This window comes from Homo sapiens, chromosome 9, assembly GCF_000001405.40.
Source record: "Homo sapiens chromosome 9, GRCh38.p14 Primary Assembly".
NCBI classification, from domain to species: Eukaryota; Metazoa; Chordata; class Mammalia; order Primates; family Hominidae; genus Homo; species Homo sapiens.
In genome coordinates, this window is record NC_000009.12 from 33,538,764 (window position 1) to 33,559,689 (window position 20,926).

The window sequence follows — 20,926 nt, forward strand, 5'->3', positions numbered from 1 at the left end:
AAGAGATAATCATAATAAATATTCCAATAGCCAAACTCTAGGCTCCAAAAATTATAATAAAATTATAAAAATGGTTCACAATAACAAAAATGTAACACCTAATGCATTGTACAATCTGAACTGTATAAAGACACCGTTAATTTAGTACATAATTATCAAACCACTTCTATAAGTTAGGTTTGGCAAATTGCAGGAGACAAAGATGGAATTGACATAGTTTTTGTCTTTAGGGTGCTCATAATAGAATATAGATAACTATTTAATTTTTGTGTTTTTTCAACAGAGTTTTTAAGAAAAATATTTTAATTCATTCAAATACTTGTCCACTTAAATAATAACTATCATGTATCTGTTACAGACTAAGCATTTTTCCAATGTTACAAAATACATTTAAAAATACAGTTGGGAGATTGTTATTACCACTGTTATTTATTTTATTTACTACCTGAAATAGTGTTTACTGTGTGTCCAATGTCATCTGGGAGCTTATAGTTATTATTTATTACATATGTATCACGTTCAGTATGTGCCAGGCACGTTTACGTTTGTGGCGATGAATGCAGTCTTCTAAAATGTGGGTAGGATTTAGGGTAAGCGTGCAGAGTGAGTGGAACTTTGCCAGGTAAGGAGGCAGAGGGATGATGTTTGGCAGAAATAGTATCTAACAAGCTTGCATGTTTGACAGAAGCAGCAGCCATGAAGAATGAAAGTTTTAAAACACAAGGAGCAAGTTCAAAAGGTAGGACACCTGAGTGAACTTTGTAGAGTTTATGAGCAGTTCAAATTTACTAGTGCAAAAAAAAATATATGGAGTGCTTGGTAATGAGGTGAAAATAGCTTATAGTTATTATTTATTATACTTAGTACGTGTCAGTGAAGGCAAGCTTAGGAAAGACTTTGTTGTTGTTTTACCTGTGTCTAGAAACAAGTTCAATAAAAGACTTCTAATAGTATAGAAATGAGTAGATCTTATCCTGTAGGCCAGGGGAAACTTCTGAGGTAGAATGCTTTTGGCTGCAAATACTGGAAGACCTAACAGTGGCCAAAACCATAAGAACCAGACTTGTTTTGGTTGTCCAGTGATATTATTGGATTCCACTTGTTCCTCTTTCAGTTATGCTGTTGGCAGTGTCTTGTTCATGTCTCCCTTCATGGTTGGCTACTTAGCAACAGCTCCAAACACCATGTTCTCACAAGACAGTATCTAAAGGCTGGAAGGGCTGCTTTTCTTCACATGTGTCTTTTAAATTGGGAGAAAATTCAGAAGCATGCAGGGGACTTTTTGTAAATTTTTTTTTTCCTTCGGGGATGTAGTCTCGCTCTATCACCAGTCTGGAGTCCAGTGGCATGATCTCAGATTACTGCAGCCTTCACCTCCCAGGTTCAAGCAATTCTCCTGCCTCAGCCTCCCGAGGAGCTGGGACAACAGGCACATGCGACCATGCCCAGGTAATTTTTGTATTTTTAGTAGAGACAGGGTTTCACCATGTTGGCCAGAATGGTCTCAGTCTCTTGACCTCGTGATCCGCCTGCCTCGGCCTCCCAAAGTGCTGGGATTACAGAGATGAGCCACTGTGCTCAGCCCTTTCTGTAATATTTTATTAGCTGGGTCACACCACATGCTCATTCCTAAACCAGGCACCGGGAAAGCAAATGTAGTTATATGATTAGCTTAGAATAATCACTTATGTTTTGAAGCTGAGGAGGGGTATTGGGATAATAAATATCCACATAGATTTGTGATTCTCCAGCAAGAAACAACAAGGAACTGCTCTTGGATAGGGAGCCAGCAGTGTTTGCTCTAGAAATTCATTGGAAAATTGTAAGCAGGGGAGGCATTAGATTCAATTTGAGATTTAGGGCATTCTGTTCAGGGTATAAAGCTGGGATTGGCAAGCTTTCTCTGTAAAGGGCCAAATAGGAAATATTTTAGGCCATGTGGTCTCTCTCTCTCTTTTTCAAGAACGATTTAAGCAGCTGAAGGCCATGTGGTCTCTGTCGTAGCTACTCAACCCTGCCATTGTAGTGTGAAAGCCGTCATAGGTAGCATGTCAGTGAATAGGCATGACTGTACTCTCATAAAACTTCATTGAGAAAAAACATATGGTAGGCAGGATTTGGCCTGTAGTCTGCAGTGTGCTGACCCATTATGTAGAGGATAGATGGAGGATAGATGTCACCTGGGAGCATATAGTTATTATTTACTATGTATTTAGTATGTTCATTAGATGCCATTCACTTTTAAATTTGTGGTGATGAGTGCAAGCTTCTAATGGGTAGGATTTAGGGTAAGCATGCAGAGTAAGTGAAACTTTGCCAGGTAAGGAGGCAGAGGGATGATGTTTTCCAGAAGGAATATCTAACAAGTTTGCGTGTTTGACAGAAACAGCAGCTATGAAGCCTGAAAATTTGAAAAAAAGAAAAAAAAGAAAAAAATTGAAAAAAAGAAAAGAAGGTGCAAAAGGTAAGACACTTGAGTATCTCTACTCTTAACCATGTAAAGAGACTGGGAGACAAGGGAAGCTTCAGCCGTAGTTAATGGTATAGTTTCCTTGTCACAAATCCATGGAGTACATCAGTCTATTACAAGGTTTTCACCCATCCATGATAAAATAAAATGATAGAGCTCCAGTTTATTCATTTGAAAATATTGGTGTTGCTGGGAACGGTGGCTCCTGCCTGTAATGAGTCAGTGTTGGAGGCTGAGATAGAAGCATCCCTTGAGGCTTGGAGGTCCAGCAGCCTGGGCAACATCGCCAGACCTCGTGACTATTTTGCAAAAACTGTAACTTGGTGTGGTGTTCTGCACCTGTAATTCCAGCTACCTGGGAGGCTGAAGCAGGAGAATTACTTCAGCCTAGAACTTTGAGCCTGCAGTTAACTATGATAGCAACATTATACTGTAGCCTGGGTGGCAGAGTGAGACCCCATCTCTCAGAAAATTCAAGTCAAATAAGATAAGATACAATAAAATAAAATGTTGGTCTTTTTCTCGGAATTATGCTTTTCTAATTTGTTTTGCTTTTTAAAAAAATTTAAGAAATGACAATAATAGTTGGTTTATATAAGGCTTTCAGAAACTGGCTTCTGCCCAAATCTCCATCTGCAGCCCTTTCTCTGTCTGCCCCTTTTTCTGGCATTACTGAGCTGCTGGTGATGCCCCTGTCACCATCCTTCTCATGTAGACAAAAACATACGCTCTGGGAGGCTTCTCTCCCTCTCTTGCTGCTGCCTGGCATGTGCTATCTTTCCTGCCCTCTGCCTCTTTTAATCTGGTGAATCTCACTGTCTAAGTCTCAGCTCAGGCATGATCTCTAGAAAAGCCATCCCTGACAGCTTTTATTCTCATTCTTTAAACACCTGTGCCTACCACTTAGCAGGAACTCAATAAATATTTAGTAAAATAAAGACTGTCTACACAGAGATGATTGCTACAGTCTAGCAACAAAGGGGATAGACATGCAAAGACCTGATGTGCAGCTCAGATGGTGAAGTGACACTAGAAAAATTCAAAAAGTACGAAGGGAGCCCCAAGAAAGGAGACACCTGTGTACGTGGAGAAAAGATAGCCAGATTCAGGGAGGACTTCACATAGAATTTTGAGCCTTTTTTCCTTTTTTTTTTTTTTCTGTTTTTGGAAACAAGTTTTTACTCTGTCACCCAGGGTGGAGTGCAATGGCATGATCGAGACTCACTGCAAACTGAAACTCCTGGGCTTAAGGGATCCTCTTGCCTCAGCCTCTTGAGTAGCTGGGACTGTAGGCACAGACCACTATGCCTGACAAATTTTCTGTAGAGTCAGGGTTTCACTATGGTCTCTGGGCTGGTCTTAAACTCCTGGCTTCAAGCAGTTATCTCACCTGGGCCTTCCAAAGTGCTGGGATTACAGGTGTGAGCTACGTCCCCAGCCTACATTCTGAGTCTTAAAACACAAAAATAAATTCATCAGAACTGTAGAGGAAAATATTTCAGATGTAAAAAACAGGGTGTACACTATAAAGGTATAACAGTAACAAAAATTTTGCAAATTATTAGTAAATAATGTGCTTAGCATGTTGTTAAAAAGATACTGTTATGAAGCAGAGAATAGTAAAGTGTTACTTTATGTGTTTTTACTGTATTTTTAAATTTTGGTTTGTTTCCAGCAGTTTTTTTTTTATATTGGGTGGAATAATTTTTGGGTGACCCTGAGACTTTTGCATGGCTTGAACCTGCTGATATCTAGTGTCTCCCCAAGTGGTTTGTTAAAGTTTTAGATAATTAGAAATGTTTCTTAAAAATGTAAATATTCCAGTAAACATTAAGCTTCATTTAAATTCTCAATTTATAAAAGAAAAGTGTGTGTTGTTTTGTATCAATTTTTATAAAGATTATAGTTTTTAAGTCATTCATTTTAACTAAACATATGGATTTGTCAGCAGAACACAACTTAAAAGTGGCTTCAGAGGAAAAGCAAGAAAGGCTTGAAAGAAGTGAAAATAAACAGCCGCAGGTATATAACAATTTAAATTTCTGGTTTAATATTGGTTTGTTTGTTTTTCTTTAATAACATAGCATAGTCCAAATGAAGTGACCTTTTAGACTATCCTTTTAGAATCCAACAGAGCATAATTTCATGTTGAATTTTAAAATATTTTAGCCTGTTATAAAATGTAAAATATTCTTATAGTCTATAGTAAATCATAGCTATCTGTACCCTTGGAATTGAGGCCAGAAATTTCCAGAACTCTCTTTGCTCTTTTATTTTTATAATCTTCTTCCTGATAAAGAAGGTAACATCAAAAATTGAGTTGTATTACTAAGCAAGAGAAATGATGAGCAATTGAACGGTGATGGCCACTGAGTTCACCTCATGTGAAAGGAGTCATCATTCCCGGTGGTTCAAACTGCAATTTTATGTTGCCAGTCACCAGTGCTGAGGTTAAAGACTTCTTCTGTTTTTTGGTTTCTGGTTGCCTTCAGTGTCTATGTTCAGGGAGAAGATGGGGTCATAAAAGCAGTCCAACTGCCTATTGAGAGAATTATGCTTTCCAGAATGGGACTTTGGTGTCAGGGTGCAAACAATAACTTTCTTGTTTTAACATAAGTAGAAAATGCTGTTAAAATTTGTAAAGCGCTGTCACTAGTGGAGCTTAGAATATATTAGACCTGGATATAAGCAGATAACCTATCTAGATAACACTATCATATTACAGTATAACATTTGAAGTAGAATCAAAATTTTCTTCTTTCTGATTGGTATTCATTTTGGCTTCTAATAATTTAGCATTTGCCTACTCTTTAATTAATCCTAGAAATATGAATTCACTGTAGGGGTTCACTATTTAGGGTATGCTGAGGTAAAAATCTTTTCAAGAGAGAAAGCCTTTAGATACTACATATCTTCTGTGAACCTATTTCTGTCAGATTTAATTGATAATGAATTAAGTTTACTCCAAACAAACAGTGAGAGTTAAGCTTCCTGGTTCACGTTTTTCCCCTATATTAAGCCAAGGGAAATTATTTTTACTTCTTAGTTATAATCCAGTAACTTAGGAGTAGTAAAACATAGATTAAGTTTCACAGTTGAGTTTTAATTATTTTCTATTTTTTCTTTGTTCATACTTAATTTAGAATAAAGTTAATTTTAAAACATGCACCCTGTCAGAAAAGACATCTGAGAAACAAAAGAAGCAAATTAATTTTCCACTTTTGCACCTGCAAAAAAATGTCTCAAGAACCAGAACTGAGTAAGAATTGTAATAAAGAGGATATATCTGTATATTCAGGACTTCCTTTAAAATTCATTACAATTCTGGGCGTGGTGGCTCACAGCTGTAATCCCAGCACTTTGGGAGGCTGAGGCAGGCAGATCATGTGAGGTCAGGAGTTCAAGACCAGCCTGACCAACATGGAGAAACCCCATCTCTACTAAAAATACAAAATTAGCTGGGTGTGGTGGTGCATGCCTGTAATCCCAGCTACTCGGGAGGCTGAGGCAGGAGAATTGCTTGAACATGGGAGGCAGAGGTTGTGTTGAGCCAAGATCATGCCATTGCACTCCAGCCTGGGCAACAAGAGTGAAAGTCCATCTCAAAAAAAAAATTCATTACAAAAAAGTTCAACTGAAGATTGGTGAAAGTTTTGAAAAATCCAGAATTACTGTTTGTCCTGAGGAAGAGCTCTTACATTGTAACTCTAAAGAGGGACAAACTTAAAGGGAGTGCCCTGTAATCTGATGAATCCTATCCCTGATGGTGAGGAAGCAGATGCACCTGGAGTGTCTAACTCTGTGCTATTCCAGGCATTGGCTGAACAGAAGGAGCCCATCTCACTCAGGTCTTATCGTTGCATTTATACTCTGGGTCCCTCCAACACACTTGCCAGTCATCTTCTAAGCTTTATTCAAATGAAAATAGATCAGACTGTAAAGATTGTAACAAACCAGACATGCAGCCTGTTTCTCACAGAGATGAAGAAGAAAGAGAATTGTTGTAATGATACAGAAATTGAAAAATTAAGGAACCCAGTAGTTATGGCTGAAATGAAAAAAGACCAAGAGTTTGATATGCAAATACGAGAAAATATAACCCAAAATACCACAGATTGGAAATTAGTCAGTAGACATTGGCCTCAGTCTGTAGATCCAAAAAGTCTTTTTGATTTGTGGTTTGCTCACTCCAAAGAATGGAAGCATGTGATACGAATAGAAAGCTACAGTATTTCTGCTATTGCAGACATTTACAAAGCCGAAAACCAATACATCGCTTGTTCCACAAGCCATATGGAACTTAGAAGCTCTTCTAAAGCTTAGAAGGTGTTTGGCAAGTGTGTTTCAGGGACCCACATATGACAGTCCCACTGCTAATATCTATAAAAGCATGAAACATGAATTAGAAAATGTGAGTTATTCTCCACCACATAGTGACAGAACATCAAAAGCATATCTAGAGGAAGACTTACAGCAAGATATGCAAAGGCTTAAGAATGAGACAGGCTTGTTACAAGTAGAGTTCCTGACTTTGAAGAAAAAAAGTTCAACTATAAAAGAGGTTCCCTTGCTGCTTCTCTTTTTATAAGTTATCTGATCCGTTCTGGTTTTCTACTCAAGAAAATCTCACATGTATAGTTACAGTGGGGTTATCTAAATGTGTAATTATGTGTCAAAGTAGATTAGTGCTGCTGTCTAAATGGCGGTTCTGGAAAACATTCTCATAATCTTTGTTCATTCATCAACCTAAGTCTCACTGTGAGTTTTCCAAGTGGCATATGGGCTGGGAAAATTATTTAGCCATATACCATGTGACCTTCTGAACCAGATAAGCATAAGGGAAATTGCTAAAGAAATACTGTCTAGATTCTTTTTTCTATATTCATTTAAAGATGAATTACATTTATTTAAATGATAAAATGGTAATACAGTGGGAGGAAAGCAATGACTGAGAAGAGACATGAAAATGTATCTGACCTTGAGAGTTGCAACAAATATTCCCAGCCAAACCAGTCTGTTTAATATGCTTTCATGCATGCAAGTTTATCTGTTTGACTCAAACTGTTTAAACTTATAATTCCATCATGGCCACTTTAAATGTTTTTGGAAACAAATACACATACTTTCACATATTTAAGAAAATCACCACTCCAATGTTTCTGTTGAATCAGACTTTTACATGATGTTGTTTAATAAAATATGGTAGGTTTTGACATGTATGATTTTATCATATAAGTAGCGTAACTCCTCAGCCAAAAATTTAGCATTTGACTCTATAGTAGAAGGCTGAGTCCTGTACATTATGTTCTAAAGATAGACAAAAATCTAGAGATTTTCTTCTTTCAAAGTAAAAGCAGATGAGGCCTCCCACCACCCTCTGAGCCATTAAATTGTTTTGCCAAAGTCACACTTTTAATTTATTTGACGAATTGGATGTATTTATCTGGTAATTGATGTAATTCAGCAATATGTAATTGTATCTTCCCTTTTGGTGCCACGAAATGCTAGGCAATGCCACCTTAGGGGCTTTGGGTGAGTTACTTAATATTTCTTGGTTTTACTTCCATTATCAAGTAGATAATGGGGCTAGAGTGGACAGCTATACTGTGTATCTTCCAGCTACAAACTTCTGTGGTGATTGAATGTACATTTGAGGAACATCTCATTTTCCAGGATTCCACACTAGAAACTCAGCAGTTTCACTCGGCTCCTTGTGTTGTGGCAAACTTTGGTTCCTCTATTTCAGTGAGCACCTTCACTTTTTTGATATCCCAGGAACCAAATGAAAAAATAAGGAGAAAAGGCAGTGGGGAAAAGAATATCTTAGTGCAGAAAAGGGAAAGGTTCTTTTCTGTTTCTGAAGCCCCACAAGGTCACATCCTCTCAATCTGGCTATTTCATGGAGAATCCAAGTGACAAAGGCAGAAGACACATTTTATGCCTGTGTCTTTTTGTTTCTCTGTTTTTGTGTTGATATATTTACACCACAGAGGTAACTGTGATCTGATGGAGAACTGGAAGTAGAGTCAGAAGCCGTGAGGAAAATCCTGCAGCTTGCTTATATTTTTAACCTGTCTTTTTTAAGGATTGTGATAACTAAATAAGTTCATCAATATATGTATGTAGAAGTGCTTAGTACAATGTCTAGATTTATGATTTAGTAAATGTAATTCTTACAACTGACTAAAAAATGTTGAGTCAAATCACAATAGAATATGATCAGGGAAACAGAACTTTTAAAACTTTGAGAGATTTTATCTGTCCAAATAGATGTGGAGGTAAAGCTCTTACTATAGGGTGGTGTCTGGGTTAGATATCAGAGTATAAATGCAATTTCCTTTTTCCAAGATTTTAATTTAGTCAAATTTTTAAACAACTTTATGCTTTGAGTTTGTTGTAATTCAGAGAAATGCTTTTCCAATTCTGATATTCTTAAAAATTCTCTAGAGTGTGTGTGTGTGTGTGTGTGTGTGTGTGTGTGTGTGTGTGTGTTTTATGGATTCATTGACTTCAAATACATTTTTGAACTTTTTGAAATGTATGTTCTCTAAGGTTCAAGGTTTTGCTTCAATTTTTTTCTCCAGTTGGTTATCCACTTACAGCAACTTTTAATTGCATGAATGTATAGGTTGCTCTTTCACTTCAGAAATAACCATCATAGATTATTTTGAGTGCTAACTAAAAATTTGTTTTGTTTTATTTAGGATTCTCAAAGTTATGGAAAAAAGAAGGATGAGATGTTTGGAAATTTTATGTTGAAGAGAGACATTGCCATGCTCAAAGAGGAATTATATGCAATAAAAAATGACAGTCTCAGAAAGGAAAAGAAATATATTCAGGAAATTAAAAGTATTACAGAAATAAATGCTAACTTTGAAAAGAGTGTAAGACTCAATGAAGAAATGATAACAAAAAAAGTGGCCCAGTATTCGCAACAGCTTAATGATCTGAAAGCTGAGAATGCAAGGCTGAATTCAAAATTGGAGAAGGAAAAACACAACAAAGAAAGACTAGAAGCTGAAGTTGAATCCCTCCATTCTAACTTGGCCACTGCTATAAATGAGTACAATGAAATTTTGGAAAGAAAAGACCTAGAACTAGTTTTATGGAGAGCAGATGATGTTTCTAGACATGAAACAATGGGTTCTAATATTTCTCAACTAACAGATAAGAATGAGTTGCTTACTGAACAGGTCCATAAAGCTCGGGTGAAGTTCAATACCTTAAAAGGTAAGCTCCGTGAGACAAGAGATGCTCTCAGGGAAAAGACATTGGCTTTAGAAAGTGTACAGCTGGACCTAAAGCAAGCGCAGCATCGAATAAAGGAAATGAAGCAGATGCATCCAAATGGGGAAGCTAAAGAAAGTCAATCCATTGGAAAGCAGAACTCTTCAGAGGAGAGAATACGTCAACGAGAACTTGAAAATCTCTTGCTTGAACGACAACTAGAGGATGCTCGTAAGGAAGGTGATAATAAAGAGATAGTCATTAATATCCACAGAGACTGTCTTGAGAATGGAAAGGAAGATCTTCTAGAAGAAAGAAATAAGGAATTAATGAATGAATATAATTATTTAAAAGAAAAACTGCTTCAGTATGAAAAAGAAAAAGCAGAAAGAGAAGTAAGTATGAAGAAAACTATAACCTTCTGGAAAGAAAATTTAAACATTTCATTGTGGCTATATGTTGAACGTAGTTCAATATAAAAATAAATAGATGAAAATGTGTTTACCATTCTGTATAATTCCATTTACATGAATCATCCAGGAAATACATGTATAGGGACAGAAAGATGATTAATGTTTGTGTAGGCCTGGGGCTGGAAGCGGGTCGTGACTGCTAATGGGCATTAGGGATTGTCCTGGAGTGATGAAAATGTTCTAAAGTTGGATTGTAGAGATGGTTGCACGACACAGTAAATTTACTAAAAATCTTTGAACTGTTTGTTAAAACAGATAAATTCTATAAATCATATTTCAACAAAGCTGTTTGAATAAAAATCATATTTCAACGAAGCTGTTTTAGTAAACCAAAAAAGTGTTTACTGTATCAGCTTGGAAACATGCTTTGTTTCCAGGAGATAAAAGGTAGAGCTGACAGTTGCTTTCCTTTGAGTAAAGACATTATGTCACCTATGAAATGTTAGTAGATGCAGAGCAATGCTGATAAGGTGTGTAGTCTTAGACTACTGAAATAAGAAATGTAACGTCTTTATGTTGCCGCATTTTAAGAGCATAATGAAGCAGGTAAGTGGAAATGCTTGCACCTGAAATGTGTATTTTGAAATTCAGATTCAATTAAGTGAGCCGCTTTGACACTTAGATTTTCCAGATGAACTGAAGTGTGTTGCTGTGTCTTGTGATGCTTTTCCTTCAGTGGCTCTCTCTTATATGTATTTTAGTTAGTATAACTTTGTTCTGATTCATACCAATGTGACTTAAGTCTGAAAATATGTCAGTCTCACATTATGTATTTTTCTGACCACTTAGTATTTTAAAGACTTCTACTTGTTATAAAATCACAATTTGGAATAAATGTGGTAAATTTTAGCAAAAAAATATTTGATGTAATGTTTCCACTGGCAGGTATTTATAATTTACTGTGAATATTTTTATGGGTAATTAGCTCATAATTTACATTTTAAGTCTCAATGACTATCATTTGGATATAATTCTTTCCAGTACAAAGATACTTTTAGCTGTCTGTGATTTATGAGTTTGACATTGAATCCCCATTTTCAGACTAATGAGGGGTGGCAGAGTTCACGGAGAGTGGGATTGAAGTTTGTACGGGACAGAGTTGTAGGAGCTGAGGTCAGGGAGGGAGGTAGAGGCCATGTTACCTAGGGCCTTGAAGGCTGTTGGAATTTTACTTTTATTCTGAGGTAGGAATCCGTTGGAAGGATTTCAACAGGTGACTGAATATGTGAGGAACTCAGGTTGAGTTGAGGGTCTAAGGTGAATGAATAGCGGGCTGGATCAATCTGTCATGTAAGAGAATATCAATTTGGCAGAATATAACACCTTCTATGTCCCTCACTGAATTCAGTAATAAAGAAGAAAGTGTACATATGAGGAAAAGAAAGTGAATCTGTGTGTGTGGTAATAATTTTCAAAGTATGTATGCTAGAGTTAAATATTAACATAATTTAATAATAAGGCACTTTATAAAATTGGTAACAAAAATATTTTGTCAGGTGATTGTGAGAGAATTTCAAGAAGAACTGGTCGATCATCTTAAAAAATTTTCAATGTCAGAGTCTCCACTGGAAGGTACATCACATTGTCATATTAATTTGGATGAGACATGGACTTCAAAGAAGAAATTATTTCAAGTAGAAATTCAAGTATGTATGGAATTTAACATGTAGACAGTTAATCTGTAGCTGGTTGAATACCAGTATCCTAAGTGTCTTAGGATACTAATTTCAGTGGACAGCTTGATTTTGTATTTTCATTATAATTGATCATTACCATTTTATTATCTTTATAACGTACTTCTTCAACTCTGGCTCTTGTTCTGCCATTTTGAAATAATAATTGCATATGTTTTCTCTTATAATATCTACTCTTGGGAAAGTTGAGAATGATACATCATTCCTCACAGAAAATTGACTTTTTTCCTGTTAAACAGTATTTTTAGATAATTTCCTTAATGCCTTGGTGAGGCAAGCCAGATTAAGTCAGAAGAGAATGTTTAATGGAATATTCCATCAAGTTGTCTTATTTCTTCACTTTTGTGAATGGACACAGCAGCTGTGCGTATTCATTTCATGGATTCTAGGTTAACTTGTACAGAAAGGCCATCATACTGTTCTTTGAAATGCACATGTTTTAGGTTAATTTACAAACTACTTGAAAAGTTAGGCATTGCCTTCATCTTCCTTTCATTTAAAATATATTGTAATGGCGTAGAAATACTCAGATCTAATAGAGTATGTACATCCAAAATAGAGAGCTCAGAAAATTATCTGGATCCTACCATGGGATTTTAAAAACAGTTTCACTGAGAGATAATTCACATGTCAGACAGTTCAACCATTTAAAATGTACAACTCAGTGTCTGTTAGTATATTCACAGTGCTGTGTGGTCATCAGCATAATCAATGCTAGAACATTTTCACCACTCTGAAAAGCAATCCTACATCTCTTAGCCATGACTGCAACCCCACTCCATGTCTCTCCACCTACCCCAGTTGTAGGCAACCACCATCCACTTTTGTCTCCATAGATTTGCATGGTCTGCATATTTAAATACATAGAGTCATACAATATGAAGTCCTTTCTGACTGGCTCTTTCACTTAGCAGAATGTTTTCAGAATTTTATCCATGTTGTAGCACATATCAGTAGTTTATTCCTTCTTATTGTCAAATAATAGTCTATTTCATGGCTACACCAGTTTTCCATTCATTCATCAGCTGATGGACCTTTAGGTTGTTTCCACTTTTTGGCTATTATGAAAACAGCTGTTGCAAACATTCATTTACAGGTTATTGTATGGACATATGTTTTTATTTCCCTGCCATTGGACTCTATCCTCAGAGTTAATTGGGCAGATGTCAGCACCAGTTTTACCCATGCTGTCCTTCCTGCCTTCTCAGTTCCTGCTCATCTAGCCTCATTCATTCAGACCTGACAGGCAATGTCCTCTTCTTGAAGCTTTCTCTGACTGTTCTCTCACTGACCTTACATCTCAGCACTTGTTGCCCAGTCTGCAGAACAACTTAGCCCTTAATTTGACATGGATTTTAATTTTTAATGGAAGATAATTTTGTCTTAACATAAATTCACTTAAAGGGAAAATAATATATGACATGAATGTCACCTATCCTTGTATAAATTGAAAATATTTTAGCTTGGCAGCTTTTAGCATAGAACAAAATATACCATACCAATTATTTCTTCTTTGAGACATTAACACAGTAAATCTTTTATTCTAAGTGTATTTTTAGCAATTAAATATGAAATTAAAACCAATTAGTCTAATAGAGGAGAATTGTTCAATCAAGTGCTCATGTTTTTCTCAGTATGAAAAAAGAATCTAAATTTGCCTTCCTTCACTATGTAGCCAAAACTGTATTTCTGGATGGTTGCCAGTTTGTCAGCTGAATAGTTCTGGCTGCAGCTTGTCTGATGAAGGACAGCACAGCTCCTTAATCCTAGCGCTCAGCAGAGTACTCGTGAAGGCAGTGCCACAGCAACAGCTGCTGGGAGGGAATTGATTCAGAAGACTTGATTTAGCAATAGAGTCCAGGGTTTTCAGCTCCGTGGCTCAGCCTGTCTCTGCTGGTCATGTCGGTTATGTACTACTCAATCCAGGAGGTGCTGTTTCCATTGTAGTACATACATGACTGTTGCCCACTGAGTCACACAGAGAGAAGAGTAAGCTATAAATTATACACTCCCCATTTGCTGCCACTTTCAGTGGTGTGAAGAATGATTCAGTGCATCTATAGGAGGCCACTTCCATTGGAATGCCACCTCCCTAACACATACAATGGTCAAGAGATAAAAAAGAGTGAAAATTATCATGCTAATAGCAAATATTGTCTGTAGCTCACTATGTACATGTACTCTTCTAAGTGCTTCTAAGCAAATCTTACCTGTAGCTCACCATGCACCACATACTCTTCTAAGTGCTTCACGTCAGTCCCTGGTTTAATCTTCCCAACATCCCAGTGAAGTAGATGGTATTATTCTCTCCATTTCATAGATAAAGAACCGGAGACACGGAAAATTAATTTGCTCAAGGTCGCACAGCTAGTATCTGGTAGATCTGGGATTCAGACCCAGCCCTTCTGGCTTCTGTGTAGAACTGCCTCTCAAACCATTCCATGGAACACCTGGTTGGTGAGGTGGCTCATGCCAGTAATTCTAGCACTTGGGGAAGCTGAGGCAAGAACAGTGCTTGAGCCCAGGAATTTGAGACCAGCCAGAGCAATATAAGTGAGACCCTGACTCTACAAAAAAAAAAAAAAATTAAACAGCTGGGGCATGGTGGTGCATGCCTGTAATCCCAGCTACGTTGGAGGCTGTGGTAGGAGGGTCGCTTGAGCTCAGAATATCAAGGCTGCAGTGAGCGGTGATCAAGCCACTGCACTCCAGCCTGGGTAACAGAGCAAGCTCTGTCTCATAAATAAAACGTTTTGTATAGATTCCCATAGAATTGAGTTAGACATCAGGCATAGGATTATTAGCCACTTTGATGTCTGCCTTGGGAGTAAAACATATAATAAGGGGCAGCTTTAAACCATCTCAATCAATAGCCTCTAACTTCTCCAGAAGGTTCTTATTTCATGAATTCCTAAGCAGGAGACTACCTGGATTAAGACATTTGGTGGACACCATTCTGAGATGAAGAATCTCGATCAGGAAGAAGGGAGATCTCTACTTGACTGGAGCTTCCCAATGACATAGTTGAGTGTCCCCCAAAAGGAACTTTAGAACAAGATGTTCATCATGCCATATCTCTATGGAAAAGGAAATTCTTTAAAAGAAAACAAAGGCAAACAATTGATAATCTGTTTCTCATGGGAAAGTTTTCATTATAAAAGAAAAAAGGGCTGGGTGCCGTGGCTCACATCTGTAATCCCAACACTTTGGGAGGCTGAGGTGGGTGGATTACCTGAGGTCAGAAGTACAAGAAGAGCCTGGCCAACGTGGTGAAACCCTGTCTCTACTAAAAATACAAAAATTAGCTGGTGGTGTGCAACTGTAGCCCCAGCTACTTGGGAGGCTGAGGCAGGAGAATCACTTGAACCCAGGAGGTGGAAGTTGCAGTGAGCCGACATGGCACCACTGCACTCTAGCCTGGATGACAGAGTGTGACTCCATCTCAAAAAAAAAATAAATAAATAAGAAAAAGAAAAAACGGACAAAATATACTGGCCCAAAAAAGAAGAAAGAGAGAGAGAGAGAAAGAAAGAAAGAGAGAAAGAAAGAAGGAAAAAGAAAGAAAGAAAGAAAGAAAAAGAAAGGACAAAGCAAAGTATACTGGTGAATATCCTAAGGGTGAGACAGCCCCCCTTCAAGATTAGAAAATAACAGTGTACTCAAAGTAACATCCATAAGAATCAACATAAAATAGACAAGATTCACTATCTACAAAAGTAATCTGCACCAAGTAGCAAATGTATAAGTGTGTGGTTGAGAATATTGTCTATAATATGTGTACTAGAGGGAAGAGTCCTCAGTAAAAAGGTCAGAGCTGGAAATTTATATTAGGGAATCCAGGTTAACGTTTTGAGATATTAGGAGTTCTGAGAGAATTTAAAAAGAGGAGTAGCAGCCAGGCATGGTGGCTCACGCCTGTAATTTCAGCACTTTGAGAGGCCGAGGAGGGCAGATCATGTGGTAAGGAGTTCAATACCAGCGTGGCCAACATTGTGAAACACCATCTCTACTAAAAATACAAACAATTAGCTGGGTGAGGTGGTGTTGCAGAATCAGGAGGACCAGAGAGAGACCTTGGGGTGTACACAGGAGGATATCTTTATCGAGTGTACTCAGACCCAGCGGACTCAACATCTGACAAACTGGGCCCAGAACAAAGACAGCACTTGACTTTTATATACACTTCAAAAATGAGGTGGGCTAGCTTGAAGCAGGCTTACAGTTACAGTGGTGTGAAAGCACGGATACAGAGGCAGAACAATTAATTAAATTGTGACAGGTTCATAACTTAGGATTACACATGACCTTTGCCAAGCAACCCAGATGTCTGTTACCTAGGTTTTGCTCTAAAGAGCCTTGCACTGGTTTATCTCAAGTTTCAATATAACACTTATTGTGTTCAATAAAAACACAATAAGTGATGAAAAACAGATCTCTGGATGAGACCCTGTGTCATAGAGTCCAATGGAAGGGGAGAAACAGGATAATAGAAAAGCCACAAAAAGTAGACAAAAGTTATTATTTGTGTATTATAGAAAAAATAAACTTTGTTTAAAGAGAAATGGTTAATAGACAGGGAAAAACTGAAACCTACAGGTGAATACTTACAGAGAATGACAGTATTTAGCTCAGCCTGAAGGTAGATGAGGATCAAAAATGTAATGGGAACTAGATAAGAGTTTTCTAAAAATCATCTTAGTAAGATGTAATTTAACTTGGAATATCTTAAACTATTAATGACAATGTTTCTAGAGCATCTTTAAAAACTAAAATGTAAATATAACTACTCTTAATTCATCTTACTAACCCTTAGTACTTTATGTGTAAAAACTCTCATTTTTAACAAACATTTTTGGCAGTTTAAATTTCAGAAAAGGTAATGATGAAAGTGTGAATCTTTTTTAGCTGTTTTAAGAAAATGACTAGTTTTGAAATCTCATTATTGGCATCAGGTTTGTAAAATGCACTTTATACAACTGCCTAAATACATATTATTCATCAACTTATGAGAAATAATATTTTTAAGATAGAAGAGGGTCTCTAGATTTTACAAAAATAATTTTAAACACTTTTTTTCAAGCCTGAAGAAAAACATGAAGAATTCAGAAAAGTTTTTGAATTAATATCATTACTGAACTATACTGCGGATCAAATAAGAAAGAAAAATCGTGAATTAGAAGAAGAGGCAACTGGGTATGGTTTTCATATTGTAGAACATTTTAGCCATTTAGTAATTGATTTAACTCTAACTTTACTTGACTAAAACTTTGATACAAATTCATTTTATGTCTTCATTTTCATAATTAAATGAATTCTGTTTTAAAATATATTTCAGAAACTCACAACACAACTTTATAGGCATGTGAGCAGGAGTCCATGACCCTTGGACTTTTTTGTTGGAATTATTAAAAAAATCAAATTTCAGTATAAAAACACAATAAGTGATGAAAAATAGATCTCTGGATGAGACCATGTGTCATAGAGTCCAATGGAAGGGGAGAAACAGGGGTTGGGAGTCAGCTGAGCTGCTGGGGTGAGGTTGGGATGAAAAAATTTATATTAAAAATATGTGAAAAAAGAAACTTACAACACAATCTGAAATTTTTTTGAATGCCAAAACATTACACCTATTTTCATTTATTTATTTATCTTTTGAGACAGAGTCTGGCTCTGTCACCCAGGCTGGAGTGCAATGACGTGATCTTGGCTCACTGCAACCTCTGCCACCTGGGTTCAAGTGATTCTCTTGCCTCAGCCTCCTGAGTAGCTATGATTACAGGTGTGCACCACCCTGCCTGGCTAATTTTTGTATTTTTAGTAGAGATGGGGTTTCACTATGTTGGTCAGGCTGGTCTCGAACTCCTGACCTCATGATCCACCTGCCTCAGCCTCCCAAAGTTGGCATGAGCCACTGCGCTTAGCAATGTATTCTTTAATGATTTTGAAAACAATAATGACAATGCTTTGGACATGTAATGTCAAGCGCACTTTTCATTATCTAGTTTGAATTTTTATTTCTGAAGATATTTTTGCTGTATTTGGTCATCTTTTCTTCCTTTTGTAATATTCTTCACTGCTGCATTCAAATTTTTTAAAGACCTATTTGTGTCCTTCTTTAACATCAAAATTTATCTGGATATATAGCTTGTATTTTGTTTCTGCTTCTTTGTTTTTCTTTTAGATATAAAACATATCATGGAAATTTACTCATTTTACATGGGTAGCTCCATTGTATACATGAAGTATACATCTTATTAAACTTCTGTTTTACAGAAATAAATTTTATATATAGAAAAAGTATAACCTAAAGAAAAAGAGTAAAATGAGCATTCATGTTTTGATCACAGACTTTTTTTAAAAAAATGGAATGTGTCTTTGAAGCCCTGAACACAGCTACTTTTCCATGTATTTACTGAGCACTTAAGTTGGTTTTCTGATTCTAATCAATATTTTTCTGCCATTGTCTTTCTCTACATGGTTTTGTATCTTTCATTTTGTTGACATTATGTCAGTAAAGATCTCTAGATCTCTTCTTCAAAGTCTTTAAATCATCACATATCTCTCTCCACCTTTCCTTTTTTCTAAAACTGCCTGTTTTCTTTTTCTCCTCAATTCAGACATTAAAGATGTTTTCTTCTCTTTTTCTACATTGAATAATGTCCTTGTGCTTTTTGGGTGTACTTTTTTTTCTTCTTATAGACTGTGGTCAACGGATATCAAAATTTATTTTTGTGTCTTTTTCATACATATATATGTTTTACTTTTTTAAAGTCTTGGTTACTCATCTCTTGGTTATGCCTTATATTTACTAATACGTTATTTCATCTTAGCATACCAAAATGGATATGAATAGTTTATTTATAAAAAACTGTATGGTTAGGCCAGGTGTGGTGGCTCATGCCTGTAATCCCAGCAATTTGGGAGGCCAAGGCAGGTAGATCATTTGAGGTCAGGAGTTCAAAACCAGCCTGACCAACATGGTGAACCCCATCTCTACTAAAAATACAAAATTAGCCAAGCATGGTGGCACATGCCTGTAATCCCAGCTTACTTGGGAGGCTGAGACAGGAGAATCACTTGAACCCAGGAAGCAGAAGTTGCAGTGAGCCGTGATCACGCCATCACACTTCAGCCTGAGCAAAAAGAGTGAAGTTCCATCTCAAAAAAAACAAACAAAACAAAAACAAAAAAAAAACTGTATGGCTATTATCACTTTACCTGCTATATATACCATAAAATTGTTCTTCATATTATTTATATAAGATTATAATTTCATATAGAATGCTTTCAAACTATGTTCAGTTGAAACTGAGAGGATCATAGTTTATAGATTTGTTTCTTTGATATGCCATAACATAGTATCTGTTTAAACAATTATTAAATATTTACTCTTAAAAATTCTTGACTTACCAGTTCTTACATTTCTGCAGATATAAGAAATGCCTAGAAATGACAATAAATATGTTAAATGCATTTGCAAATGAAGACTTCAGTTGCCATGGAGACTTAAATACAGACCAACTGAAAATGGATATTCTGTTTAAGAAGCTAAAACAGAAGGTAATTTAAAAAATTATTATTTTATCTTAAGGTCTAGATTACATGTGTGAGAGGTACAGGTTTGTTACATAGGTAAATGTGTGCCATGATGGTTTGCTGCACGTATCAATCCATCACCTAGGTATTAAGCCCCGTAGGCATTAGCTATTAATCTTGATGCTCCCCCTCCTGACCCCAACAAGCCCCAGTGTTTGTTGTTCCCCCTCTGAGTCCATGTGTTCTCATCATTCAGCTCCCACTTATAAGTGAGAGGATGCAGTGTTTGGTTTTTTGTTCCTGTGTTAGTTTGCTGAGGATAACAGCTTCGAGTTCATCCATGTCCCTGCAAAAAGCATGATCTCATTCATTTGTATGGCTCCATAGTATTCCATGATGTATATACACCACATTTTTTTATCCTGTCTATCATTATGGACATCTGGGTTGATTCCATGTCTTTGCTATTGTGAATAGTGCTGCAATGAACATACAAATACATGTATCTTTATAATACAATAATTTATATTTAAACGTAAGGTAATTTTAAATCAGTTTGGGGATTAAAATTATGTAATTTGGAGAAATATTAATGATGGATAAACCCAAATTCAGCCAAAATACATCTAAGGAGGTTGATTCTGAGCCAGTATGGTGACTGTGGCCCTGGATTACCCAATCTCAAGAGCTCTTGAGAATGCTTCATGAGACAGTCACATTACAGTTTGGTTTTGTACATTTCCAGCAGACAGAGTTGTAGGGAAAATCATAAATCAATATGAGGAAGGCATACATTGGCTCAGCCTAAAAGTGGGACATCAAAAAGGAGGGGCTAACAAGTCATAGGTGGGTTTTAAGGATTCTTTCAGTGACAATTGATAAACAAAATCTGTTGTCTAAAACTGGAAATAGGTATAAAGGAAGGCCTTAATTAAGATAAGGTCATTATGGAGGTTAAGGTTCTTATTATGTAGATGAAGCCTCCTAGCTGGCAGTCCTCAGAGAAAATAGAGGGTAAATATATCTTTTCAGACTTGAAATGCATCAGGATCTTAGTTTATCTTCCCTAGATCTGGGAAGACCTAGAAGGGGAGAGATTGGGCTACATTAATGAAGACTTCTTACAGATGCAAATTCCCCCACAGATGGCAGCTTTGTACGGCCATTTCAATCTCTTGGCCCTGCAACAGCCATTTCAAAATATGTCAAAAAATATATATTTGGGGGTAAAATACTTTGATTTTTTTCAGCTTCTTCTCTCTGTGATGCTGTACCAGAATCAGGTTAGAAAGTAAACCACATTATAAGAGTTAATAAAACCCATCTGATGAGATTTGATTGTTTGAAGGGTGTGATTCCCAGACCCTTTAGATAGAAATTGGGGCAAAAGAATACAAGGTCTTGCTCCTCAATATAAATCTCTCAGTGCTTTAAGCAGTGACAGATTTTTCATTTAATTTTACAGACTTGATACTAATAAAAAGATACTTTAAAAAATATATATGTATATATTTTTCTATACAAAA

General features: G+C 36.5%; 1 protein-coding gene across 2 annotated transcripts in view; it reads left to right on the forward strand.

Moving 5' to 3' along the window:
• ANKRD18B (ankyrin repeat domain 18B) overlaps positions 1 to 20,926 on the forward strand; it is a 51,192-nt gene that overhangs the window by 14,513 nt on the left and 15,753 nt on the right. Inside the window, exons 7-14 of one of the 2 annotated variants that reach the window (NM_001393611.1) lie at positions 686 to 739; positions 1,315 to 1,449; positions 2,384 to 2,464; positions 4,422 to 4,492; positions 9,175 to 10,092; positions 11,667 to 11,816; positions 16,945 to 17,057; positions 19,295 to 19,424. In NM_001393611.1, the coding sequence (NP_001380540.1) occupies positions 686 to 739; positions 1,315 to 1,449; positions 2,384 to 2,464; positions 4,422 to 4,492; positions 9,175 to 10,092; positions 11,667 to 11,816; positions 16,945 to 17,057; positions 19,295 to 19,424 (1,652 nt within the window). The remainder of the gene's footprint in view (positions 1 to 685; positions 740 to 1,314; positions 1,450 to 2,383; positions 2,465 to 4,421; positions 4,493 to 9,174; positions 10,093 to 11,666; positions 11,817 to 16,944; positions 17,058 to 19,294; positions 19,425 to 20,926) is intronic. The other variant, NM_001353432.2, reaches the window with a different exon arrangement.